Consider the following 20095-nt stretch of genomic DNA (forward strand, 5'->3'; position numbering starts at 1 on the left):
TCATTAAAATAACATGTAAACATTATAAATTAATGGGTCATTTAAAATCCAGGGGCAGTGTATTTTAGTGACTACAACTGGTGTTGAATTCAACAATAAGTGAATCATAGGATTAATGGTAGAGACCTAAGAAAGTAATATTTTAAAATGCTGGCACATTTTAATAATCACCATTCTGACTGGTGTGAAATATCTCATTGTGGTTTTGATTTGCAATTATCTGATTAGTGATAAGCATTTTTTCAAATGTTTGTTAGCCATTTGTTTATCTTCTTTTGAAATGTGTCTGTTCATGTCCTTTGCCTAGTTTTTAATTTGATTTTTTGGTTTTTGCTTATTGATTTAAGTTACTTGTAGATTCTGGATATTAGGCCTCTATCAGGTGCATGGTTTGCAAATATTTTCTCCCATTCTGTAGGCTGTTTGTCTACTCTTTGATACTAGCTTTTGCTGTGCAGGAGCTCTTTAATTAAATTAGGTCCCACTTGTCTTTTTTCATTTTTGTTCCAATTGCTTTTGGGGACTTAGCCAAAAATTCTTCACCAAATCCTATGTCAAAAAGCGTATTACCTAGGTTTTCTTCTAGGATTTTTATAGTTCGAGGACTTACGTTTAAGTCTTTAATCCATCTGTAGTTAATTTTTGTGTAATGTGAGAGGTGGTGGTCCAAATTCATTCTTCTGCATATGGCTAACCAGTTATCTCAGCACCATTTATTGAATAGGAAGTCCTTTTCCCATTGCTTACTTTTTGTCAAATTTACCAGAGATCAGATGGTTGTACATGTGTGGGTTTATTTCTGGGTTCTCTATTCTATTTCATTGGCCTATGTGTCTGTTTTCATACCAGTACCATGATGTTTTGGTTACTATAGCCTTATAGTATAGTTTGAAGTAAAGTAATGTGATGCCTCCAGCTTTATTCTTTTTGCTTAGAATTTGTGGCTATTTGGGCACTGTTTTGGTTCTAAATGAATTTTAAAATAGATATTTCTAATTCTCTGAAAATTTTGATAGTGATAACATTGAATCTGCAAAGTGCTTTGGGCCATATGTCCATTTTAACAATATTGATTCTTCCAGTCCATGAGCATGGATTATTTTTCCGTTTGTGTCCTCTCTGATTGCTTTCAGCAGTATGTTACAGTTCTGCTTGTGGAGATGGTTCACCTCCTTAGTTAGATGGATTCCTAGATATTTCATTTTACTTGTGGCTATTGTAAATGAGATTGTGTTCTTGATTTGGTTCTCAACCTACTTGATTGTGGTGAATTGAGTTTTTGATGTGCTACTGGATTCAGTTTGCTAGTATTTTGTTAGTAAGTTTTGCATCTATGTTCATTAGGGATATTGGCCTGAACTTTTCTTTCTTCATTGCATCTGTGCCAGATTTTGGTATCAGGATTATGCTGGCTTCATAGAATGAACTTATTTAAATATAAAAGAGATAAAAGAGATATACAAAAGAGATTGTTTTTATAGCAGCCAGTAGGGGTGACCCTTCCCTTCCCTGCATTATCCCTTATCTCTTGAAAGTAACTATTCCAGTGAAAATCTAACTTATTGCTATTCTAAATTAAAGGAACCAGTTTAACAGCTATACAAATATGTTTATAAGAAAAAATGTGTAAAATAGCAATAAAAGCTTCTCTACCAAAAGAAAAATAAAGAAATAAAACAACACACTTAAGGCAAAATGTGGCCAGAAAGCAGAAAGAAATGTATTTCTTGATATTCCAATAAAAGTCTTAAAATATCAGATGAATAATCTTAAACTATCAATGGCAGCTATGAAGGAAAATACTCAGCAGAAGTAAAGAACTCAGGGAAGTGAAGGCCTGCCATTAAAGCTAAATAACAGAAGGAGGTGAAATCAATATTGGAAAAATATAGGGGAAAAAAAAGAAAAATAAAATAAGAAATGAAGATTAAATTCCAAGGAGCCAAAGGGAGATGGTAAGTAGAATAAGGAACCTTTTTGTCTGTTATGTAACAAACCATCTCAAATCTTAGTCATCTTAAATAATGAGTTGTGTTTTTTTTTTTCCTCACAGTTTTATGGTCTGGTTGGGCAGTTGTTCTAATGGGCTTGCCTGGGTTTCTCATGAAGCAGCATTCAGCTGTGGGTTTTCTGTGCGCCGAGACCTGCTGGGGTGGCTGGTACAGCTGGGACATTGTCTCAGCGTGTTCTTTCACCTTTAATGAGTCTAGACCAGACTTCACATAATGGTCATGACAACATTCAAAAAGGAGTTCAAATATACAAGTACTTATTATTCCCCTGCTTATGTCATATTTTTTGGTATCCCACCAGCAAAAAAAAAAAAAAACAAAAACAAACTAAACCCCAAAATTTAAAAAAGGAAAGAAAGAAATTTAAACGGAAAGAAAAGAAAAGCCAAAAAATCACAGAGCCAAGTCCAGAGCAGTCTATTTGGTCCTAACGATTTGTTGTTGTTGTTGTTTTTTGTTTTTTGTTTTTTTTTTGAGACAGGGTCTCATTCTGTCACCCAGGCTGGAATGCAGTGGTGCAATCACAGCTCATTGCAGTCTCAGCCACCTGGACTCCAGCAATCCTCCCACCTAAGCTTACCGAGTAGCTGGGACTATAGATGCACGCCACAACGCCCAGCCAGTTTTTAAAATTTTTGTAGAGATGGGGGTCTGACTGTGTTGCCCAGGCTGGTCTCAAACTCCTGGGTTCAAGTGATCCTCCCAGCCTGGCTTCCCAAAGTTCTGGGATTGCAGGCATGAGCTACCCCTGGCTGGCTCTAATGATTTTATGTTGGAGTCCATTCAGGCTCAAAGACTGTGATTTTGTACATTACATCTGAATACAGAAAATGCTCCTCAGATGTAGTTTTTTGATCCTGGTGTCTGATGCAAAGTTTAGTACTTGCTCTGAATCACAGTAAGTATCAATGAGTGTTTGCCATCTTGAATGGAATCTTAATGCCAAAGATATGAAGCCATGGGGTGAGGACTTCTAATACAATCAGCTTCTGTTGATACAGAGACCCATGAACAAAAAGACAAGTTATCTGCTCCTCCTTACCCCACAGATAAAGCATAGAATAATGGAACAGGAACAGTATAACCACAATAGACATTCTCACATAGAAAGAAAATAAGTTGGAAATTTACAGCAATCACTGGTCCATAATGATTCTGACATCTAACTAAGCATATGTTTTTAGGAATCCTTACTTGGGGGCAGGGAATGCTCCTTAATTAAGGCTGATTCTGCTCTTCTGAAGTTGTTTTCTAATCTATTGTTGCCCATGGGCCTTGATTCTTCCCAGTGGGCTCTTGGTTCAGTTCTCTTAGAGCTTATTTTTCTTTAAGAAATATAATAGCTGAGTAATTTTATCAGCCAGTTTTCTGTATATAGAAAGATGAAGTCCCAGAGACCTCTTTTTATTTTAACCTCTCTTCTTTTTAGTCCAAACTTATGCAACTACCTGAAAAATTCTAATGATTTCTTGTGAGTGTGACTGGGATTCACATCCATAACTCTTTTTAAGATAAACTTCAGTCTAATTTGGGCATGTCAGTATGCTATGAGATAATGTTTTTTAAAATTTCTAGAAGCCCATTTGTCCAGCTGAGAGAGTCTACTAAAAATCACTTTTGATTTTTCTGAGGTCTTAAAAAGAGGACTATGTGCACTGGTTCATTCACAGGCCTCCTGGTACTTTGGGAGGCCAATGTAAGAGGATCCCTTGAGGTCAGGAGTTTGAGACCAGCTTGGGTAACATAGCAAGACCTTGTCTTTACAAAATATAAATAACTGGGTGTGGTGGCCTGTGCCTTAGTCCTAGCTACTCAGGAGTCTGAGGTGGAAGGATTGCTTGAGCACAAGAGGTAGAGTTTGCAGTGAGCTATGGTTTTGCCACTGCATTCCATCCCAGGCAGTGTTACAGTCTCACCAGTGCACCACAGCGTAGCAGTCTCATTGCCTGAGTTAGTACCCAGAGTCCTTTGTGTCAAGACCAAGAAAGTTAAGGAGCATGGACACCAAGGGTGAGGTTGGAGTGAAAGTTTAATAAGCAAAAGAAGAAAGCTCACCACCATTGCAGAAAGGGGACCCAGAAGAGGGTTGCCATTTTACGGTTGACTGCAAAGGCTTTTGTAGAAAACTGAAGAGGGCTGGGTGTCTCATTTGCATAATGTGTGAATTTCTGGTAGCTCCACCCCATCCTCCTAATGAGCATTAGCCCTTAGCTTGAGTTACTCCATGTTGTTGCTTTGTTCCCCTTACTGTGCATGTGTCAGGGGATGTTCCATTGTGGGGTATGTCTGGGAAAGTCACCTGTCTAGACTTTCTTATCTGTGTGGGTGTGGGCATGTCTTAGGCAAGCCCTCCAAGTAAGTTCCCATATCTGTACCTGCAGGCTGTTCTTCGGTTTGAAAGTATTCAACCGAGGACCCACCCTACCTGCCTGCCTGACTGGTTCCTTCCTTTCTCCTCTCTCAGCAACATGTGAGACCCCATCTGCAAAAAAAAAAAAATAAAAATAAATACATTGAATAAAATAAACTTTTTAAGAGATGTCTTATATGCATAATCTTGATTTGATTTTTTTTTCCCCGAGGCTATTTACCATACTGAGAATAGTTTTCCAACTGGAAAATCTGGAAATGTGAAATCATTTTATTTTCCAACCCTTAAATGTCCACCACTTCTTCATGCCTAATTTCCTGTTATAAACTAACCAGTCATCTCTTTAGCACGTCTGTCTCACTATGCATTGATATATGCATGGAAAAGAAGCCAATTGACACTTGTAACATTATGGCAAAAAGTCTCCTTAGCCAGAGCTAGCATTTCATCAGGTATAATTTTAGCTTCCATGTAATTGCATGTGACAGGTTTGCCAAATGTTTTGCTATTACAAAATATGGACTGTTATTTTTTTCTGCCACTAATAATTTCCCAAACCTATTTCTAACCTTTGCCAATAGTTTTTGTTGTTGTTGCTGCTGCTGTTTTGGTTTGATGTTTTTGCTATGTTCTGTTTTTGCCATTCCTTCAGGCATTGCCAACAGACCCCTCACACTTCTCAAGCCTCCATCTGTTGCCTATTTCCAAAGCCAATGCCACATGTTTTGGGTTTTATTACAGTCATGCCACACTTCTAGGTAATAATTTTTCTATCAGTTACCTAATAGTGCATAACAACCCTAAAATTTAGTGACTTAAAGCAATAATTTACTGTTTCTCATGATTCTGTGGGTTGGATGGGCAGTTCTCCTACTGGTTTCATCTGGGCTCATTTGAGTGGCTGACTGAACGTCTCTCTACATGTGGTCTTTCATTCTCTAGAAATTTAAACTGGGATTCTTCACAAGGTGATGGTAGCATTACCAGAGGGCAAACCCCAGTGTGAAAGTGCTTATTAAGCCTCTATGCTTGTCAAGTTCGCTGATGTCCTGTTGGCAAAAATGAGTCACATAACTAAGCCAAGAGTCAGTATGGGAGGAGACTGTAAAAGAGTGTAGACATCAGGAAGAATGATTAATTGGGAAACATTAATTAACAATATAACACATAAGCAATCAAGATAAAAGTGAAAAAATAAGAAATAGAGAAATTAGAGAAAAAAAGATGGCTTTAGAATATTGGGAAAGGAAAATAAAACGGATATTACAGATATTTAAAAATATAAGTCACCTTTTCTGAAATAAAAGGAAAATGAATCATATTGAAAAATTACTAAGAGAAAATTAATCATAAACACTAAGACATAATTTATATAAAAATGAAAGATGAATATTTTTATTTAGAAACAAGATGAATATAAAGTGAGTAAGAAGAAGAAAATAACAAGATGATTTTGAAAAGGCTGTTTCAGGCAACCACAACAAAAGATCAAGCCATGCGTACTTGGGGAGGCCATATGGCCTAGTTACCCTGAAACAGTTCCAGTTTATGCCTGTTGTTCTAAACATAAATAGTGGCCCCCTTCACTCTCAAAGTGTGGTTTAGATGACAATTTATAGTCAATGTTGTTCTAAGGGAAAAACAGTAAGACTTCCGACAGACTTTTTTACCGTAATATTCACTATCAGGAGACAATGAAGCACCAACTGCGACATATTCTGGAAAAGGGCACTTAACTACAACAAAACTTTTCTTCAAATTTAAATCTACAAATAGATGTGGCCCATGCCGGGTGACGTGTCAGAGCCCTGGCAACGGAAAGTGGTGGCTCGTGAGTAGTAAGAAGAATTTACTGCCAATAGTATAGGTTTGAAATAGAAAGAACACTGTGGAAGAGACAGCAAGTCACGTCAGCAAGTAAGGACTGAGCTCTCCATGGTAGATTTTTTCTTAGGGGTATTTATAGACCTTAAAGCGGGAGCTTAGGGGTAATTTGGACCATATTAGTCACATAGGTCATGAGAAACGATTCTGTTTGTAAACATTTTGGTGCCTTGATGTCAGCAAGGGTTGCACAATGAGTTTCAACAAACATGCATTCCAGAAATCTATAGACATTCTAGCTACTTATAATTTGTGGAAAAGAAGCCTGGTACCAGATGCTGTCTTTAGATAATAGGGAAGTCTAATTACTTATGAATTCCTCAGATAAAGAAATTTGCCGCTGGATGGTCTGCTTGATGGCCATCAGGTGATCTTTGCTCTCCTAAACCCAGGGAATTTTTAATGAAGAAATAATGTCTCACTTAATATTTTAATGAGGAGGCTATATCTTCTTGGGGAAACTTATGAAAGATCAACTGTAGCCAAAATAAAGATTTCAGAGGAAACTTCAATAAAAGGACTTGTCCTGACCATTAAATATCCTTAACTGTGATTCAGTCGAACCAAAAAGTATCAATATTGAATGTTTTACATGTTTTTAAAAAAGCAGAAATTGTAATACAAATATAGAGAAGAACAAAATGTTTTAAGAGGGATAAATTTGCTGATTGACTCATCTGTGCCTCATCTAAAAAATCAAAGATACTACTTTCACGTGGACAAATCAAATAGTAAAAAAATTAAGCAAGTTTATCAACACAGGAAAAGAATTAAGCAAAATAATTGTGTGGATTAAATTTAGATGGTGGAGGAAAGCAAGGAAGATGGGTAGAAGCGTCAGAGGTGTCCGAACCAGAGCAACTTCATCTTGAATAGCAGCTGTGTAAAATGAGGCTGAGACTTACTGGGCTGCATTCCCAGGAGGTTAGGCATTCTAAGTCACAGGATGAGATAGGAAGCCAGCACAAGATACAGGTGATAAAGACTTTGCTGACAAAATAGGTAAAGATGCGGTAAAGAAGCCAGCCATTCCCACCAAAACCAAGATGGTGATCCAAGTGGCCTCTGGTCATCTTCACTGCTTATTATACACTAATAGTAATGCATCAGCATGCTAAAAGACACTCCCACCAGCACCATGACAGTTTACAAATGTCATGGCAACGTCAGCAAGTTACCCTCTATAGTCGAAAAGTGGGAGGAACCCTCAGTTCCTGGAATTGCCCACCCCTTTCCCAGAAATTTTATAAATAATCCACCATTTGTTTAGCATATGTTCAAAAACTATAAGTATCTTTAGTCAAGTAGTCCATGCTGCTGCTCTGCCTATGGAGTAGCCATTCTTTTATTCCTTTACTTTCTTATTAAACTTGCTTCCACTTTACTCTATGGAGTTGCCCTGAATTCTTTCTTGCGTGAGATCCAAGAACCCTCTCTTGGGGTCTGGATTGGGACCCCTTTCCGATAACAAAAGGGAGTACAGGCATAATAAATTGCTGCTCATAGTAAGGAGTTAGTAGACATTGTCTAAAAAGAAGGGGCAAAAGTATTACAAAGAGATGTTAAAGATAACCACTCTAATCTGAAACACTAATCTTTAAAATATCTGAAGAGCTGCATTCAATACAAAGAAAACATACTCTATAGTAAACATAAACCAAAAGAAACCCCAAATAATATGACAGTAAAAGGAAATGTACCTGTTATATTAATAAATATAAAAGAGCTTAACTCACTTATTTAAAGAAAAAGGATTTGTACATAGAATTGCAAAACAAAACGCAACTCTAATTTGCATGAGACACACTTAAAGCAACTCAGAAGGACCAAAAGACAAAGAAAATAAGGACAGTTAAGTTATATCAGCTCAGTGCAAACACGAAAAAGCAGGAGTCTGATCTTAATTTCAGATAAGATAGACTTCAAGTCAAAAAGCATTATCTGACATATAGAAGAATAGTTTAGAATGTTAAGGGGTATAGTTGACAATGAAGATATAACAGTTACAAACACCTATGCACCTGAAATCATAGCAGTAATTTTCATAAATCGGAAATCATGACAGATACCAAGAATCGACCTGGAAATATTCAGAGACTTCTATTCACTCCCTTCAGACTAAGATGGAACAAATAGATAAAAGCACACTTAAGGATATAATATTAACAAAGTAAGCAAGAAGATGCATATATATATATATATGTTACTACTGTAACAATGAGAACATGCTTATGTGACAATTAAAAATTTTTTTTGACTATAAAGCCTCTATAAATCAAAAATTGGGGGATAGTATAGATAATATATTTTCTGATTCTGATGTAATAAATTTAGACATTGTAGCAAGATAGTAAAAAATACCTAGAATTAAAATTCTCCTCAAATATACTTAGGTTAAATATTTTTAAAAAGTACACACAAATCACAGAATTTCTGGATAACAACAATACACCAACCTATGGGACAGAGTTAAAATGGAGCTCAGAGGAAAATTCATAGCTCTAAATACTTATATTTACACAAAAGAAATAATAAAAATTTAATAACATTCTCCAACTAGATTTGTTTAAAAAGGAAAACTTATGCATATTTAATATTTTATATTTGTACAACTATATATGTCATTTTTAATAAAATATGCCTGGTTAGGAATTCTCAAAATCTAGTCAGAGTAGACTGATATAAGTCAAAAATCAAAAATCAGTGAGTCTGGGGAGCTTTTTGGAGGTCAAAATATTGTATGTCTGTTTTCTCTTATCTGTGGAGAAACTAGCCAGAATTCATTTCAACAACTCCCCAATTCTCATTCTTAATTAAAATCCTGCTTTGGGATTAGACTTTAATAATTCAAGTCAAGTTCGTAAACTTTATTACAGTAAATCAAATACTGTATTTGAAGACAATTGTGAAAATGGCGAAATATTAGTGTTAACGTATGCTTTATTAGGTAGATTTTTAACGTGGGAAAACATTTAGTTAAAATAAATGTTTTTTTCCCTTTTTTATCAAAAATGTAGTCAGTCCACATTGGGTAGTCTGAAAGTCATCTAGATCTAAAAAGTTATTGGTAAACTTGATATGTTTTAATTTAAATTACTCTTGAGAAGCAAATTGTCTTCTGTATTTTCATGTTTATTCTTTGTGTCTGCTGTTCCTCTATCAGGGTCCTTTCTCTTCCCACCAGCTCCTCTCTCTCTGATTATCTAAATCATATCCCTTCTTAAAGAGTTGTTCAAGTCTCTCTTTTTGCAGAAAGCTTTTCCAAAGTATTGAGGATCTACTAATATGTTTATTTGCTGATCTTCTATGCTTTTAATCTGTACCCTACATTCTGCCATTTTATCTTATGCCATTGTCTTCTATGCTTCATAATCTGCAATATAAAATCCTGACATTGTATGCCTATCAGAACAGACATGATACATACATGTAGGCAGTGAGACAATGACGTGATTTTAGAATTGCTGAAGCTCTTCTTCTTTGCAGATGGTTGCTTATGGTGTCTGAAGGCCCACCAGAAACAATTATACCATTGAATCAGAGTGTTTTCTCCATTTGGTTCAAATGAAACTCATATCCTGCTAAGAGTAGAACATATTAAAAGGGAAATTATTCTCTTATTGGTTCCTTTCCTCCCTCCCTCACAGTGAGGGTGACTGGGGGTTTTGAGCAGCATTATTATTTGATGATCTGGAGATTGCCATGATTGTCATGCATAGTGAAGAAAGAAAAAAATACTTTGAGAAAATCAGAAAAGAGTACAAAAAGGAATTTAGAGACATTAATGACAGTCTTTATCAATTTCAAAATTTCCCAGTAGCAAACCTGTCTGCTTTTATGTATAGTCCTATAATATTTTTTATTTTTTCTCCCTATGAACCTGAACACTCCTTATAGAGAAGAAATGTATCCAAAGATCATACTCATTTACAATATCTCATAGAATCTTAGACATACAGAAATTTCTGAGAATATGACTGTTGAAATAAAATGTTGTTATTTATATTTTATTTTATAATGGAAAAAAGTTTTGTTTTCCTAAATGAAAATATTATAAATATTTAGTTTACATAATTAATCTTAAAATTGCTAAAATTTTAAAAATGGGGGCAAAATACAAATTGAAAAAGAAAAAACAGCAAGATTTAGTATTTGGGTAAGAAACTGAGGGATCACAGTGTCAATGTCCACTCAAGTAACATTCAGTTAATGACTCTGGTGCTGATCAAGTCTCTTTTCTGCTGACCTTCATGGTAGAAAGTGTGATGGGGAAGGTTTGGTGTGTTGCACAGTTCTGGATTATTTGCAACTGAAATGATAAGACTGGAGAATGCATTGGCAATGAATTATTCATGGGAGTTTTCTATGTGGCAATTCAAGTGCTAAGCACTGAGTTTCAGTTGATATTGTCAAGGCTATGCTTGACAATATCAAAGTTTTTATTTTATATAAAAAATTCTTCCTTTGGCAAGAAACAAAAGGAGAGGGAAAGAAGACCTGAAAGAAATGGCCAAAGCAATGCTGTCGATTCTTCCCAGTGTATTTGTCATTTCCCCTATCCCTTTACCTTTTGGTGCTTTTCATTCCAGCAGAGAGGTGATCCTCCTCTTTTGCACTACTGTTGTGCAGTACTTACCTCTATCACAATCCTCAGCACATTGCATTGCACTTACTTGATTCTGTCACCTCTATAATATAGTATGCACCTTGTAGTAAAGGCTATGTCATATTCATCTATAGATCCTTAGCATCAAAGATAGAGCTTGGAACAAACTAAGCTAGTTTCCTCGAGTAAATAAATGAATGCTAGTTTCTTGAATAAACAAAGACTACACAGAGAGATAAAATGATTTGTACACAGAAATATAGGGTTCCTCTTAAACTGTCAAAGGTTGCTATGTATTCTGTAAAAAAGATACAAAATTCTGGGGTTTTAGGCCCAAGAGACGCAAGTCATAAAGACTAAGAAGGTGAAACACAGCTTCCCCATCACTTTGTGAGACTTTCAGTCTAAGAGGTGGTGTATATTGAGACAAGAAATGGTAAAAAGTTTTAAAGAAAGTAATGGGTTGTCTACACAGAGTTATTTAAAAATCACTGGCATATTCCAAAACAACTCATCTCTCTACTTGGAGGCCAACTTCTCGCAGAGAGAAACATTGTTTAGGTCCCAAAGTGCTGGACTCTCTCCCTGCCTCACAGAGGACTCAGATTCATGAGAGGGTTCTGGGACACTAGTAAAATCTTTTTTCATTCTTTCCTTTTGTGTATGTGTAAAATGGTCTCTCCAGAGCTGCCCTCTCTCTGGTTTTCTTTTTGTGTGTGGTTATTTCAGAGTTAGCTCAGTGCAGTCAGTAATAGTTGTCAAGATGAGAGAGAATTACTCCTTAAAAGACTTAGATTTTTTTTTTCTCTGAACCTTCCTTTTCACATCAGCTATTTTCATAGCTAATAAATTTTAAACTGTGAAAATTGCTTTGATCAATTATGTATTTAGGTTTTTCATAAACATGCTGATTTTATTACTTATGGAAACGATTAAGAACACATTTGTGTAGGATTTCTCTTGTACTGTCCCCGAGTGAATTCTTTATGTTTGCAGAGATTGTCCTATTTACTGATTTTATGAGGATCTTGCAGATATTATTTTCATGAAATAAATAAGGATGTAGGTATTGTTTAAAGAAACATTTTCAACACACAAATATCCATGCTGACAAATAATGGTTAGATATTCAGCAAAATTTCCATTTCAAGGTAAACAGGTAATTCTACACCTACCCCAAGACATCACAGGTGGTACTCAGGGGGTGCCTGTAGGTGGCAGCAAAAATGTTGCAAATTGTACCTACAAAATAATACCAACAGCATAATTAAAAGGAAAGGACAAATTAAAAATAACTTCATTGCCATGTTCAAAGTACTGTATATTTAGCTTTAGGCAACAGATTTATTTTAAAGACAAAAATAGAGCAGGCGTCACGTGCATCTGGGAATGGAAATTAGATAACCTCGCAACACAAAGGGCAAAAGGCATACCCTGTTACTTTATAAGACTGGAGTTTGGAAGCAGGCAATAAGAGGTTCTATAAATGCTTCAGCTCGCACTGAGGATAGCTCAAAGGCACATGGCAAAAGCTTGATATTTCAAATTGTGTTTTGCCTTGCGTCATTTCAGCTTAATTTTCCATAGCAATGAATTCAGAATGCTGAACACACATAAGCCACAGATCTGGGTTGCCCAGTACATTTTAGAAAAATCAAGCGCGATATAAATTAAAAAAAAAATACCTGTTTAAACTTGTTTTTAGGCATGAGTATTGTTCATAACTTCAGGCCAGAAAGAAACAGTCCTCTTCTTATGTCACATGTCAGGAGAGGTACAGCCTCTGAGTAATGAGAGACTAAAACAGCCTCAAACCTTGATTTCTATTGACCAGGTGGTGCTCTCTGGGAAGGTAGGTTTGGGGTAAATGGAATGTTAACTCATAACTACTAACTTCACAGTGGATCATGGCATTATTTTCCAGAGACTCATTGGTAAGTTGTGGGAAAATTGACTTGTGAAGTGGTAAGGTAGAAGGAAAAGTTGCTGGGAAAGTAATTCTAAAAAAAAGGAAGATACTAAACATTGGAAGCCAAGAGTTGTAACTATTCCAAGTTATGGTATCTACTGCGCTTCTATAAAGTGTGCATCTTGGGGCCTGGCAAGGTGGCTCACGCCTGTCATCCTCACACATTGGGAGGCCAAGGCGGGCAGATTGCTTGAGCCCAGGAGTTCAAGACCAGCCTGGGCAACACGATGAAACCCTGTTTCTACAAAAAATACAGAAAAAAAAAAAATAGGTGTAGTGGTGGGTGCCTATAGTCCTAGCTACTCAGCAGGCTCAGGTGGAGGATTGCTTGAGCCCAGGAAGCAGAGGCTGCAGTGAGCCATGATTGTACTACTGCATTCCAGCCTGGGAGACAAGAGAGATCCTGTCTCAAAAAAAAAAAAACCAAAAAAACCAAAAAAACAAAAAAAACAAGTGCATCATCTTGGTATGAATGATGATTTAAGAAATAGTAGAGGATCAAATGAAATATTTGATTTCAAGGATAGCTTCCCTGCAATTTCCTGAATTTCAACCACTTATTCTATGATCAAATTGTATACCTTATAATTGCTGATGCTATTCTCCAAAATGCAACCCAGAAATCATAATGTTGTCTCAGATAGATTGAGAGTAGCTGCTTAGTCACAATCGATATCATTTGAAGATACTTTTCTTTCTTGAAATTTGCCATCTTTGGGATATTTGTGATTACAACAAAGGAAGAAAACAAACTCTTGTGAGTTCTGAACACAAGTGAGGAAGCGCTCAGGGGAGCAAATGTTGAAAGACATTGTGCATTTCCTATCCCCTCTCTCCTTTTCCAAAAGGTCAAAAGGGTTCAGAAGCAAATGGTATCATTCCTGGCTCTTCATCTTATCTTGGTAGATCTCTCTGTTCTTAATAAAGTCCTCCTGTTTTGGTGATACGTATTGAAAAGTAGGATTAAGAGGTTGCTAAATGATACAGGAAAAGTATAATCAAAGTTGGAGGGGAGATTCAATCGGTGGAGTGACTTATTTTCTTTATGTAACTATTAATAGAATTAATATCAACAGGTGTTCCCAACTCCCAGGCTGTGGGCCTGTACCAGTTGTGGCCTGTTAGGGGCTGGGCTGCACAGCAGAAGGCTAATGGCTTCCAGCATCACTGCCTGAGCGTCACCTCCTGTCAGATCAGAGGTGAGCCAGCATTACCACCTGAGCCCCGCCTCCTGTCAGATCAGCAGCAGCATTAGAATCTTGTAGGCGCACAAACCCTACTGTGAGCTGTGCGTGCAAGGGATCTAAGTTGCGTTTTCTTATGAGAATCTAATGCCTGATGATCTGAGGTGGAACAGTTTTATCCCAAAACCATCCCCCTCCCTGCTCACTGTGAAAAAATTATCTTCCACGAAACTAGTCCCTCATACCAAAAAGGTTGGGGACTGCCACACTAGAGGACAGAAAATGACAAAAAACTTGAAAGAGAAGGTGGTATAATTCTTTTGTGTTACCTGGAAATGGTGAGTCACAGCAATATAGTAACAAGGTCCTTGGGAGTATGATAGAATGGTAGAAGAGAATGACCCCCAATTCCTATTATGGTTAAGTTGTTTTGCCTTGCCTTGTTTTTACATTTGTTAAGAGTGATGCTGTTGGATAACTGATATACAAAGAACGGCACATATTTAATGTGTACAATTTGTTGAGTTTGAGCATATGCAAACACTTACAATACCATCACCATGATCAAGGTAATAGACAATAAAGCTGTTACAAAAAGAACTAAATTGACGTTTGGTTCTGGCTTGTAGCTGCTCTCCTCTTTCCTTTCTACATGAACATTTTCAATCAATGTCAAATGTTCTATTAAAAAAAGAATCAAGATGTTTTAGTTCATTCTGGCTACTATAACAAAAAGACCATATGCTTGGGTGGCTTATAAACAACAAATTTATTTCTCACAGTTCTGGAGGCTGAGGGCCTCTATAAATGGTGAGGGCCAGCTTCCTGGTTCACAGACAATCGTCTTCTCTCTGTGTCCTCACATGACTGAAGGAGCGAGGGAGACCTCAGGTTTCTTTTATAAGGGCACTAATCCTGTTCATTAGGGTGAAACCTAATCACCTCCCATAGGTAGGCTCCACCTCCTACTACATCAGGTTGGAATTAAGATTTCAACATTTTAATTTTGGAGGAACAAAAACATTCAGGCTATAGCACAAGGTTATGCTGGCCTGATAAAAAGTAAGAAAGAATTCCTTTTCTATTTTGTAAAAGAATTTATAAAATATTTGTTTTACTTCTTCCATAATAGTTTTGAGAATTCACCTGTGTGTCCATTGAACCTGGGGTTTTTATTATGAGAAATATGTCTTTTAATGGATAACCTTTAAAGCAAATGTAACATTATTCAGAAAATAAAAATAATCCTGAATTCCATCACAAGGGAGTCAGGGAGGACATAGCCTTGGCTTTATACATACAAACTGTTGGTCCCAGGGCTTGGTTTCTGAGAATATCATAGTAAAGGTAGTATAGAAGAGTCTGGGACCAAGTTCAAGCTGGAGTTTGAAAGGGCTAGTTGCTAGTTAGATGCTAAAAAGAAGAAAAGCCCAGAAGGCAAAAGGGAGTATTAAGTTTGAAGAGTACAGCCAGGAGCTCTGAGTTGGCAGAGATGGGATTGGAGAGAGAGCAGGTGGGGAGCGAGTGAGGAGGGCTCTGAATAATCACAGCAAATAGCTTTGGGCAAATGCAACTTGCTTTATCAGCTGGTGGGTGGTGGTGCAAGAGAGAGTCTGGCTGCCTGAAAAGGCCAGATCCCTCTCTCTAAGCAGCAAACACATTAACGTCACACGTCGAGCTGAGAATTTTATCCACTTTTGGGAACTGTGGAATTGCGTTTCCACCTTGGCACGGCCTCCTATTTTTGACACATAGTGATTTGATATAAATTGTCATCTCCCGGAGACAACCTGACAACAAATACTGCTAATCATTTCATTCTGAACTGCGCCTGGATGGCGGAGAGTAATTAGACACATGCCTGTTGGAGACTCTGCATTATGAAGTGCATGGGAATTTGCTTTGAAGGGGAGAAACAATTAGAGACGGAGATTTACAGAAGACTGTAAGAGGCAGGGAGTCTCTTATGTTTTATTTCCTAAAGCCACAAAAATTCCTATAAAATCCCTACTTAGCTCACATTCTTAAGCTAGAGATCAAGCCTTTTGAAGAACAGGCATACCTTAAAATCAATCCACATGGCGTTGCTAGGATCAAAGAAAAGATAATGCTCTAGGGGCCCCTGCTGCTTGAATTGTTGACCCAAGTAAACCCCAGCTGACTTGCAGGAGTTAAAGTAGTCTGGAAAAATATTATCTGGAATCCATCCTCCTCCTTAGATAGATGTTTTTTGGGGTCAGAGAATGGAATCTCTTCTATAGCTGACCCTGGAATTTTACAGATCCCTGAATCTTATTCTAAGGAAAGTGGGACCAATGTGTCCATATTATAATTGATATTTTGCAATTACATCTTCATGGCATTCAAAGAAGTCATCTTTTGGGAAAACTTGTTTTATTTTTTTCTCAGATAAGGTAAAACCTGTCATGAATCTAAGGAAGCATTTGTGCAGCTGGTGATGGAGCACCTACTTCCTGGGGCATGGGTGACACAAACAACTCCGTGTTCCTAAACATGCTTTAAATTGAGACTCTAGTAACTGCTCTCCTTTTCTTTTACATCACATTTGCATGATCCCATGGATGGCTGACCACAGAATATTTGTATGGCCTTTGAACTCAGAAATCATGCTTTGTTTTGGTGTCACTACTAATTAAGATAATTAGAAAACTTTTAGGTTTTCAGAGTTTCTGTTATCCCTTTTCCTCCAAAATTCTAAGTATTGAGTCTCCATCCTATATGTCCAGAAAATTATTGTATTATTAAAATTATTATGTCTCCATTAGCATTTCTAGGCATCTTTGAGGGGAAACTAACATGTCTGGGGTGCTACCTGCCACCTTTTGCTCTTGCCTGATGTTCTTTCTTTCTCCTGATTACCTGGTGGTCTCTGAACTTGTTCTAATCTACTTTGGTCCCAATACTTGAAGAGGCGTATGACAACTTCCTTCCAAAGCATCATGAATAAAAGTTGTTATTGTTAATTTCTAAGGTATGAAGATAAAAAAGGGAATCAGAATGCAGAAAAGATATTAAAAATAGACATCATTAGATATGACAGCTCCTAAAATTTGCCATCCAGTCCTCTTCACAGAAACCTCGACTGTCATTTTTATGACACAGAACACAGAGTTGCGCTTAACCATGCTCCTCCCTCAGATTACAGCTCCTTTCTTGGTCACTCATGGCCAAATCCCAGGGTCCTCTCTTGCGGAATATCCCAAATCCATAGCTCCACACCTTGAAGCAAGTATGATGTTTAGAGCATTTTCTCTTTCACTTTTTTATTTTTTTCATCTGTGTTGTTTTAGAGCCATTCTTTCACATAGAAAAGGCCCGTGAAAACATTTTTCCTAATCAGAGAATAAAGCTAAAGAATAATTACACTTTCACCTCTAGAACAATAACATCGGTCACATGGCTTTAAAAACAAGCAAGTTTTGCAACTCTTCTGATTAATACTAATAATGACCATATTAATTAATCCTCCAATTCCAGCAGGAACTTCAGTAATTCTGACTGGCCTTTTACTTTGCAGCTGTTGGCTTCCTTTTCCATTTCCCTAAAAGCAATCTTTAAATGTTTACTACTTGAGGGGAATGATAAACCACACTCAACTCACTCAAACCCACTCAATAACCCACTCAAACCACAAGCCCAGAACTTGTAGTGCAAAATCTATTTTTAATTTGGGGAAGGTGGTTGAATAGCTTTTGCATGATTACCCTCAACTTTCAGCCCTTCTACAGTGTATTTAAACTTACCCATATTCCCATCACAGTTACTTCTTCCCTACAGTTTTAGAGAATGAGCTTCTCTTCCAACCCAAGGGTACATCCTCTATGTGTGCTCTGGTGTTTTGTTTTTTGTTTTTTTTTTCCTGTGAACTCCCTCAGCTTGCATCTACATTGTGTACGATCTTTCTCTTATTTTTTGGCCTGTATCACTGCAATGGTTACTTCCTGTAATGATTAGCCACATTTAGGTGGTGGTTGTTTTTTCAATCCTAATATTGACCAGTACTTATATTCTTGAGTTGAACGCACTTGGTCTCAATGTGTTATTCTTTATGCTTTATTCCTTTATACATTTATTTTACTGCCAAATTCTGTCCAGTACTATTGTATGTAACATTTTTTTCATCTACATTTTTAAGCGATAGTAGATTAGAGTTTTAACTTTTGGTACTACCCTTACTGTTTCAACATCATAGTTTTGCCAGTCTTATAACCTAAATTGGGAGGCTTTCCATCACTGTATTACCCAGGAATTAACTGGATAATTGGATGAGGATTTAGAACCTAACTTGTATTACATAGTAATACACTGTTGCCTAAAAATTTGGCAGAACCCAGCAGCAGATATACACTTAGTAACATTTTAGACATATAGTTGACATCTTTAGAATATTTTATGTATTTTTCTATTTAGTTTTATCCTTCTTGAATACATTTAAATCATTTTTGTTTGTTGCTTTTCACTTTAAATTTTATTTTTGTAGTAAAATCTGTATCTGTATGCCTTTTTTTTTCTTCCTGCTTGTCTTTTCCTGTTGTAGCTTTTTTTTGCATTTATTTTCACATACTGACACATTGTTTTAGGCATCACCCCTGTAATTGGAATACATGTTTTTTCTTACTTTGACTGTGGTTCTCTGTTTAAGAAAAAAAAATAATCGATTTAAACCTGTGAATATAGTTTATGTTTATCATTTTTTTATTTCAATTTACTCTTTTTTGTTATGTTGTTAATTTCTTCTTTCCGCTCTTCTTTTCTCTTTTTTTTCAGATCAACATAATTTTTCTGGCAACTTAACATACTAATTATCCCTATAGTGCTTATCATAAACATTTAACATACATTTTTCATCTTATATTTCTTAAACATTGATCTAAGGTCAATTTTTAGACATACTCCTAGATAAAGGCTTCAAGTGCTTATAATTACCTCTTATTTCCTTCCCTGATAACTTCCTATGTTAAGATTATTTGGCATGTTATTTCAATCTTTTTATATATCACAAAGCTTTACTGTGTTATTAGTGTCTTTACTCTTATATCTCATATTTTCTTATTCTTCAATTTATTTTTAATTTTAATAGAATATACAATATACAGGCATGCCTCAGAGATGTTGTGGGTTAAGGTTCAGACCACCACAATAAAGCGAATAGTATCATAAAGTGTCGTGTGAATTTTTTGGTTTCCCAGTGCATTCAAAAGTTATGTTTACACTATCCTGCAGTTAATTAAGTGTGAAATAGCACTATGGCAAAAAACCAATGTACATATCTTAACTTAAATACTTTATTGCTAAAAAATGCTAACAGTCATCTGAGCCTTTAGTGAGTCCCAATCTTTTGGCTGGTGGAAAGTCTTGCCTCCATACTGATGTCTGCTGACTGATCAGGGTAATGGTTGCTGAAGGCTGGAGTGGCTGTGGCAACTTTTGAAAAGATGAGAGCAATGAGGTTTGCCACATCAATTGACTCTTCCTATCACAAAAGATTTCTGTGTAGCATGTACTGCTATTTGATAGCATTTTACCCACAGGAGAACGTCTTTCAAAATTGGAATCAGTCTTCTCGAACCCTGCTGCTGCTTTATTGACTGTTTGTGGAATGTTCTAATACCTTTGTTGTCATTTCAACAATGTTCACAGCATGTTCACCAAAAGTAGATTCCACCTCAAGAAACTTTCTTTGTTCATTTCTTAGAAGCAACTTTTCATTCATTCAATTTTATTATGAGGTTGCAGCAACCCAGTCAGTTCTCCATGCTCCACTTCTAATTCTAGTTCTCTTGCTATTTCTCCCACATCTGCAATTAGTTTTTTCCACTGAAATCTTGAACCTCTCAAAATCATCTATGAAGTTGGAATTAGCTTCTTCCAAATGAAACTGGAAAGTTCCCTGACCTCCTCATGGGACTTCTAACAGGAGTGAGGCTCATTTGCTCTGCTTCCTCAAACCCCTTATGGCAGGGGGAACATGAAGACAGCCCGGTGCAGGAGCCAGGGCAAGTGCTTTTGAGCTCTGGCCCCGTAGTAGAGTCTAGCGGTGTGTTGCAA

This window comes from Homo sapiens, chromosome 2 (assembly GCF_000001405.40).
Source record: "Homo sapiens chromosome 2, GRCh38.p14 Primary Assembly".
Taxonomy (NCBI): Eukaryota; Metazoa; Chordata; class Mammalia; order Primates; family Hominidae; genus Homo; species Homo sapiens.